Source organism: Homo sapiens, chromosome 3 (genome assembly GCF_000001405.40).
Source record: "Homo sapiens chromosome 3, GRCh38.p14 Primary Assembly".
Classification (NCBI taxonomy): Eukaryota; Metazoa; Chordata; class Mammalia; order Primates; family Hominidae; genus Homo; species Homo sapiens.
In genome coordinates this window covers 39,416,232-39,425,622 of record NC_000003.12, presented here as the reverse complement: position 1 = coordinate 39,425,622, position 9,391 = coordinate 39,416,232, and the positions used below count along the sequence as shown (strand labels likewise).

Sequence of the window (9,391 nt, the reverse complement as noted above, 5' to 3'; positions counted from 1 at the left end):
GAGGAAATATGGGTAAAGTTTCATGACTGACTTGTAAATTAAAGGCTGCACTTGGGCCAGGCGTGGTGGCTCATGCCTATAATCCCAGCACTTTGGGAGGCCAAGGTGGACAGATCACCTGAGGTCAGGAGTTCAAGACCAGCCTGGCCAACATGGCGAAACCCCGTCTCTACTAAAAATAAAAAAATTAGCCAGGCGTGGTGGTGCACACCTGTAATCCCAGCTACTCGGGAGGCTGAGGCAGGAGAATTGCTCCAACCCAGGAGGCAGAGGTTGCAGTAAGCCAAGATCACACCACTGTACTCCAGCCTGGGTGACAGAGTGAGACTCTGTCTCAAAAAAAAAAAAAAAAAAAAAAAAAGGCTGCACTTGAACAGTAATGTTGCCCTTTAGGTGATCAACTCAGGAAGGTATACATAAATTCTAGGAATGCTGCCATTGCTCAAAACATGTTTGGAACTCCTTGCTGGAAACTACCTTTGGAGTCAGCAGCCTCATTCCTGTGGAGTCAGTTTCCATTTTCCACCTCAAATGGTAAATGGTGTTAATGCAGTTTGGCTGTGCCTTTTTTCACCTTCATGAAATGACAAATGCATTTCTGTGTTTGTCTTCTCTCCAAATTACAGAGTAAGTTCCTGGAGGATGGGGAAAGTTTCTAGTTATCTGTCGAATCCCACATTCTTGGCCTAACACAAGGCACGTGGTCAGTTTTCAACAAATATTGTTGAATAGTGAAATTACAAGGTATAAGAGTTTACTGTATTTTTGTTTTTGTGGTAAACATGTCAGGCAGTAGCTTTTTTATTTGATTATTGCATGCATAGACTATTGCTGGCAGAAGGGACCTTAACAACTTCTAGAATAACTTTCCAGTTCATGGAAAAAAGCTTTCTGGCAAGTTAAACCTTGAAGCTTCTTCCTGAATATTCAAATCAAAGCAGGTTAGCAATTGCTCTTTACCTAACTGAAATGCACATAAACAACACTGCATTGCAATTTTTCACTAATCAGATTGTCAAAGAATGATAATTATTATGAGTGATAATAAATTCAAATCTGCAGTCTCTTTTGTTGCTACTAAAAATTCAATTTAGGGAAATTTAATGTTTTTATTTTAACATCTTAAAATGTTCCCTGCCATGTGATTCAGTTAACCACAAGGATGTTAATGACAGCCATGTTTATAATAGTTGAAATTTTATAAAATATTAAAACTAGGAAAATAGATATATAAACTATTTTGCAGCCACTTAATAGCTTACTGTGTAGCTAATGTATACAATCGATATAAAAGCTTATTGTAAATTCTAAGAGCATTTAGAGAAATGCTTATTGTTAATTCTAAAGAGAAGGTCAGTTGGCCATATATTGTGTATATAAAAAGTTACTTTCACCTAGTTACATTACCTGATAAGTTCACTGCTATGATATAGAGGAGTGGTGATAGTGGGTTATCCATGTCTTGTTTCTGACTTTAGTGAAAATGCCTCTAGAATTTTTCCATTGTATCAGTTATCTATTGCTCAGTAACAAACTCCCTGAAAGCTAAGTTGATTAAAACAAAAACAATTATTTCTTTTGCTCACAAATAAGCACAGAGTTTGACAGGAATGACTTGCATCTGCTCCACATGGCAACTGCTGAGATGGCTCCAACTGGGGCTGGACAATCCACTTTCAATACAGGTCATTCTCTTGGCTGGCAAGTTAGTGCTGGATGTTAGCTGGGAATTCAGCTGGTCTGGGGCTGGGGACTGGGGACTTTGGTTCTTCTCCATATGGGCCTCTCCCCAGCTGCTCAGGCTTCCTCACTGGAAGATGGCTGAGTTTCAAGAGCAAATGTCCCAAGGGACCCAGACAAAAGGGAATGGCATTTTTATGGCATATCTTTGAAAAACACATAGCATCATTTCCATTCTATCTTATTACTTGAGGAAGTTGGAACTTCTACCAAGGCTGAAAGGGAGGGGACATAGATTCCACCCATTGGATAGTGACAATGTCATGTTAAGATAAGCATGTAGAATGAGAGACATTTATGGTCTGAAGTTGATATTTTAAACTCTCTCATTAACAAAGACCTCAAAACACTTTATCTTTCACATAACCTCCATACCCGTTTTAAAATTTTTATCATTATTATTAGAGACAGGGTCTTGCTACATTGCCAAGGCTGATCTGGAACTCCTGGGCTCAGGAGATTCTCCTGCTTTGGCCTCCTGAAGTGTTGGAGTTACAGGCATGAGCCACCACACCCAGCCTATACTCTTTGTAAATATTTTGTTGATTGCTTTTATCTTGCTTGTTTTTTACCCCATATATTAGAAATCTTGTTACTGATTTACACAGTCTAATGTTTGCCACCAAGGAATATATCTCTAAAGAATATAGCTAGGCTGGGTGCAGTGGCTCACACCTGTAATCCCAACACTTTGGGAGGCCAAGGCAGGTGAATCACCTGAGGTAAAGAGTTTGAGACCAGCCTGGCCATCATGGTGAAACACCGTCTCTACTAAAGATACAAAAATCAGCCAGGCATGGTGGTGCACACCTGTAGTCCCAGCTATTTGGGAGGCTGAGGCAGAAGAACCGCTTGAACCTGGGAGGTGAAGGTTGCAGTAAGCTGAGATTGTACCACTGTACTCCAGCCTGGGCAATAAAGCAAAACTCCATCTCAAAAAAATAGATAGATAGATAGATATAGATATAGACATAGACATAGACATAGACATAGATATAGATATAGATATAGATATAGATATAGCTTACCTTTGCTTGTTTTTGAACTTTTCACAAATGGAATCACATATTAGGAATAATATTGTTACACTTATTTTGCCCAAATTTGTACGATTCATACATGTCATTGCATGTAGCCATGATATGTTTAATTTCATCACTGATTGGCACTTTGTGGTATAAATATACAATAGTTTATCAACAGTACTGTAGATGGACCCAGAGCTACTTCCAAGTTTGTCAATTAGAATTCTTGTCCACATACCCTAGTGCAAATGTGCATGATTTTCTTTAGTGTATACCTTCAAGGGCAATAATATAGATGCTTATGTTACTAAAGAATGCCAAACTGTACCAATTTATACTCCCACCACCTAGTATAGGAGTTCTTGTTCCAAATCCTTGTTACCATTATCTGATTTTGCCAGACTTTTTTCATTTTTTTTTTTTTGAGACGAAGTCTTGCTCTGTCGCCCAGGCTGGAGTGCAGTGGCGCAGTGTCAGCTCATTGCAACCTTCGCCTCCCAGGTTCAAGTGATTCTCCTGCCTTAGCCTCCCGAGTAGCTGGGATTACAGGTGCCTGCCACCACACTTGCGTTAATTTTGTTATGCTTATGTAGAGATGGGGTTTTGTCATGTTGGCCAGGCTGGGGCTTTTTTCTTGTTTATGGTAGGTTTGGAATGGAAAACAACTCCTTTAACCCTACCTTAATCTCACCTTAATGCATGCTACCTTTCCAAAGGGCAAGAGTGTTATCTCCTGTGGAGTCTGTCCCTTCAGATACGTAGCTCATAACTGCTTGAGGTGGGTAAATAGTGTTTGACTCTGTATATTGCGGACCAAGACAGAAAATGCCTGCATTAGCACAATTCTAGGTCCTTTCACTTCTGCTTGTAGGCTGGCCAGATCTAGCCAGAGTTCTTGTCTCTCATAGGACTATGCTTAAAGCAGCCAAGAGTCACACAGACCGTCACTCTGGATCTCTCCTACCATTTTCCTAATGCCACAGATTTGATCAAATTTTGGTCTACCCTCCAAAGCAATGCAGGCTCCAAAACCTGACCCAACATTTTACCACCATGTAATGTGAGGCACCAGCTTTTCAGCCTGTGCTCAGTGAAAACTCACAGGCTCTGTTAGTATGGAAGAAAGGAGGATGAACATGGGTGTTCAATAGATATGACTGAGAAATCCTCATAAACATTGGTGTTCATCCTGGCCGCAGCTTTCTTTTGCCTTCATTTTCTTTTTTCCTTACTAACTTTTGTTTTTTGGAAAAGTCATTATATTGTCCTAATTCTTCAATGACAGAGTCAGTTAGCCATTTGTTTTTCTCATTCTACTGTCCCCTAGCTGTCACCATTGATGGGGAACAGTCAGGTGTCCTTCCTTTTCTCCTTGGCTTCTTTCAAGAACACTTTTGGTTTTGGCATTTCAGGATTCTTTAACAATGTAAATAAGAATGGGGTTTTAAAAACCATTTCCACTTACTACACATTGGAATTCCTGAATTTGTAGATTCATGAGAATTTCGGATCATATCTATTTGTAGATTCATGAGAATTTCTTAGTCATATCTATTTGACACTGACTTCTTTATTCTCTCTTCTCTCTCTCTGGAACTCCAATTAGACAGTTTGACTCTCTAATTTTACTCTCTTTGTATCTCCTCTTTTGTATTTTTTTTCCTCCTCTCTCTGTTCTCCTTATGAATAATTGTTTTCATATATTTTTTCTAATTCATCAAACCTTTCTACAACAGTGTCTTATTATTTTTTCTGCTCATTGGGTTTTAAATTGCAATGATCATATTCTTTATTTCTAAATGGCAAAAGCACATTGTCAATAACTAGATATTGTCTTAAAAAGACAACTTACTTAAAAGAAATATATCTATATGAAATGATATACAGTAATACCAAAAAAATTTCCCTGTAAGGGATTTTGAAACAAATGTCAAACTAGCCCATTCATTTCTTCAGACTTGATGGCCTGTGCAGAGTCTTGTGTGCCACCATGATGGTCTAAGGGACTACTTTCTCATGCTAAAGACTGTACCTTTCTTTTGCACATCATAAATGGAAGACACCCCTTGGGTTGAGATAAGAGTATCGGATGGAAGAAAATGCAGAGCTGAGTCACTGAGGAGAGGTGGTGAGAGGGCCTTACCATGGGGACATGATGATGCACACTTCTGGCAATGTCGAGTGCTCTTTGCACCAATGTGAACCTAGCTAGCCAGCCATGGAGAGGGGAGAGTGCTTCTTGGACCATTGTCTCTCAGTGAGAGTGCAGCAGGAGGCAGAATTGGGGTAGATGTCTGTGCAATGATAGCTTTTTCCTTGTCCCCAACTCATTTCCAAAAATATCTATAGAAGAGAAAAGAGAAAACTTAGGTGAGTTTTCTATGGGTTGGGCAGTGGAGATGTGCACCACTCACATAGCATGGACTCCAAGAGACTTCATGGCCTCTGGTACAGGCCCCCAACTCCCTATGAGAACAGAACGTTTTGATGAGGCTCTACTTGGTGTGAGGCTGGACTGAGACCTCTTCTCTCTGGAGGGGTTTCTTTGCTGTCATTCTCTCCAGTGATTTTCTCCATTTGTCCTGTTTCTATAGGCTGATGCCTGTGATTCTTGCTTTAGACAAAAGCTTTCCTCATGTTTCCATCATCCTCACTTCTGTTTCCATAGTAAATAAATTGTTCACTTGTTATCTGCCTCTCCAGATAACTGCCACAAGGTCACAGGCTTTGTCTTCATTCACTGCTCTATCCCCATTGCTTGTAATAATACCTGGTCCAGAGTAAGTGCTTAATAAATATTTGCTGAATGTTGAGTTCTTATTATTTTACTTGAGATTTTTTTCAAAGTAGAATTGGCTAATTCTGGCACTATTCCTAAAAGAAGCCTGCTGAACTTAGCATTTTCAGAAGTACAGCTTGCCCTGCCCTATTAAACAAATAGAATGTTTTACCTGTAGGCTTAAAAGCAGGTTTTTCATGGATGGAGTTTAGCAATCTCATCCCTGCCTTGTAGAAAAACTCTGGATTGCTCAGGCTGGGTCAGAAACCCCACGGAAATAGTGACATTTACCACTGGATATCACGTTATTTAGAACATGAGGTTGAGTTTTTCCAACAGGATCCTTAATAGTTTCCCAAAAGGGAACAATTTTAAAATGTCTCAATTACCTACAAATAAATTTACCAAAGGACATGCAAAACTTCTACAGGAAAAATTATAAAACCTTATTGAGGGACATAAAAATGAGAAAATGGAGTAACACACAGATTGCTCACGGGTTGAAAAACTCAGTAGTGTAAATCAGTCAGTACTGCTCTATAGAATCAATGTAATCCCAACAGGGTTTATAGTGGAACTGGACTAACCGATTGGATTTGGCTTGAAAATGTATATGACAATGCAAAATCATCAATAATAGCCAAGACTCTCTTGGAGGAAAGGAGGAAGATAGGAGGATTGCCCTACTTGATACCACAATAGATTATAGAGTTCTAGTAAATAGGCTAGTGTAGCATTGACTCAGGGACACTCATAGAGCAGGGAGAAAAATGGAGAGGTCAGGATCAGACTGCATAGATGGACCCTGTGGGGAAAAGAAAGAGAGATCAGATTGTTACTGTGTCTGTATAGAAAGAAGTGACACAAGAGACTCCATTTTGTTCTGTACTAAGAAAAATTCTTCTGCCTTGAGATGCTGTTAATCTGTAACCTTACCCCCAACCCTGTGCTCCCTGAAACACGTGCTGTGTCAACTCAGGGTTAAATGGATTAAGGGCTGTGCAAGATGTGCTTTGTTAAACAAAGCTTGAAGGCAGCATGCTCTTTAAGAGTCATCACCACTCCCTAATCTCAAGTACCCAGGGACACAAAACACTGCGGAAGGCGGAAGGCCGCAGGGACCCCTGCCTAGGAAAGCCAGGTATTGTCCAAGGTTTCTCCCCATGTGATAGTCTGAAATATGGCCTCGTGAGAAGGGAAAGACCTGACCGTCCCCCAGCCTGACACCCGTAAATGGTCTGTGCTGAGGAGGATTAGTAAAAGAGGAAGGAACGCCTCTTTGCAGTTGAGACAAGAGGAAGGCATCTGTCTCCTGCCCGTACCCGGGCAATGGAATGTCTCGGTGTAAAACCCGACTGTATATTCCATCTACTGAGATAGGGGAAAACCGCCTTAGGGCTGGAGGTGGGACATGCAGGCAGCAATACTGCTCTTTAAGGCATTGAGATGTTTATGTGTATACATATCTAAAGCACAGCACTTACTTCTTTACCTTGTTTATGATGCAGAGACCTTTGTTCACGTGTTTACCTGCTGACCTTCTCTCCCCTATTATCCTATGACCCTGCCACCTCCCCCTCTCTGAGAAACACCCAATAATGATCAATAAATACTAAGGGAACTCAGAGGCCGGCAGGATCCTCCGTATACTGAACGCCGGTCCCCTGGGCCCCCTTTTTTCTTTCTCTATACTTTGTCTCTGTGTCTCTTTCTTTTCCAAGTCTCTCGTTCCACCTAACGAGAAAAGCCCACAGGTGTGGAGGGGCAACCCACCCCTTCAGACCCAATTTTTGAGAAGCAGCAATTCTGAACAGTGAAGACAGTGTTTTCAACAGAAAGTCCTAAGGGTTATTGTAGGGTCCAGCCCCACAGGGTCGGTGAGTTTTCTCCTCGTGTGCAGAGAGAGCGTAGAAATAAAGCACAAGACAAAGAGATAAAAGAAAAGATAGCTGGGCCCGGGGGACCACTACCACCAAGACGCGGAGACCGGTAGTGGCCCTGAATGCCAGGCTGCGCTGATATTTATTGGATACAAGACAAAGGGGCAGGATAAGGAGTGTGAGCCATTTCCAATGATAGGTAAGGCCACATGGGTCACGTGTCCACTGGACAGGGGGCCCTTCCCTGCCTGGCAGCCGAGGCAGAGAGAGAGAGAGGAGAAAGAGAGAAACAGCTTATACTATTATTTCTGCTTATCAGAGACTTTTAGTACTTTCACTAATTTGCTACTGCTAACTAAAAGGCAGAGCAAGGTGTACAAGATGGAACATGAAGGCAGACTAGGAGCGTGACCACTGAAGCACAGCCACAGCATCACAGGGAGACGGTTAGGCCTCCGGATAACTGCAGGCAGGCCTGCTTCCACAAGAGGTGGAGGAGTAGAGTCTTCTCTAAACTCCCCTGGGGAAAGGGAGACTCCCTTTCCCGGTCTGCTAAGTAGCGGGTGTTTTTCCTTGACACTGAGGCTACCACTAGACTACAGTTCACTTGGCAACAGGAGTCTTCCCAGACGCTGGCGTTACCGCTAGACCAAGGAGCCCTCTGGTGGCCCTGTCTGGGCATAACAGAAGGCTCGCACTCTTGTCTTCTGGTCACGTCTCACTATGTCCCCTCAGCTCCTATCTCTGTACGGCCTGGTTTTTCCTAGGTTATGATTATAGAGCGAGGATTATTATAATATTGGAATAAAGAGTAATTGCTACAAACTAATGATTAATGATATTCATATATAATCATATCTAAGATCTATATCTGGTATAACTATTCTTATTTTATATTTTATTATACTGGAACAGCTCACATCCTTGGTCTCTTGCCTTGGCACCTGGGTGGCTTGCTGCCCACAGGTTATGGCTATGTTTTTGTAGGATTTTATATGTGATTGCGAAACCATTTGACGTTATCTGGTGAAACTAGAGTTTAAAACCGACAGGGGAAAACTTTGCACAAGGATCTATCAAAAATGTTCCAAATGGTGGGCCACAGTGGCTCATGCCTATAGTCCCAGGCTGAAACAGAAAGGTCACTTGAGCTCAGGAGTTTGAGACCAGCCTGGGCAATATAGTGAACCCTCCTCTCTACAAAAAAAAAATTTTTTAATTGGCTGAGCATGGTGACACGCACCTGTAATCCCAGCTACTTGAAAGACTGAGGTGGGAGGATCGTTTGAGCCCAGTAGGTAAAGGCTGCAGAGAGCCATGATCACACCACTGCACTCCAGCCTGGGCAACAGAGACTCTGTCTCAAAAAAGAAAACAAAAAGCAGAGACAATATTGAGGGAAAGAAGCAGATCACACAGAAGACGTGCTAAGATTCCATTTATGGGAAGCTCAAAAACAGGAAAATTAAATAATTCATGATTAAAAGCACAAACGTAAGTGGGGAAACAATAAAGTCAACCAGTTTATCACAGGAGCAGGAGCTCTCTGACCTGAGAGGAGCAGGGAGGGACACACAGATGCTTTCTCTGGTCCCGGCACTTTTCCCTTTCATAACCTGCATCACAGTTGCAGAGGCTTTAACTTGATTCTTACTCTTTAAGAATGCATGGATATGTCTCTTAAACTATCTGCATGTATGATCCATTTTACATAAAAATTATTTTTAAAGTAAGTACTAAGGAAAGACAATGCAATGCATACGAGCAGTATTCACTACATGCCAAACCCAGACTAATTGCTGTGCAGGATGATCTCAATGAATCACAGCAGCCCACAATCATCCCATTTGATGGTGAGGCCACTTGGGCTAGAGACATAGTCCCTTGCCCAGAACCACACACTAGGAGTGGCCCAAGCAGGGCTGTCATCACCCCAGTATGTCCAATTCTGCAGCCCACACTATCCA

General features: G+C 41.8%; 1 long non-coding RNA gene across 1 annotated transcript; it reads right to left on the bottom strand.

Moving 5' to 3' along the window:
* Positions 1-762: 762 nt before the first annotated feature.
* Positions 763-6,411, bottom strand: LOC107986075 (uncharacterized). Its single transcript, XR_001740663.2, has 2 exons — positions 4,909-6,411; positions 763-1,821 (listed from the first exon to the last, which is right to left on the bottom strand). It is a non-coding gene; the product is annotated as an uncharacterized LOC107986075 (long non-coding RNA).
* Between the last annotated feature and the right edge of the window lie 2,980 nt (positions 6,412-9,391).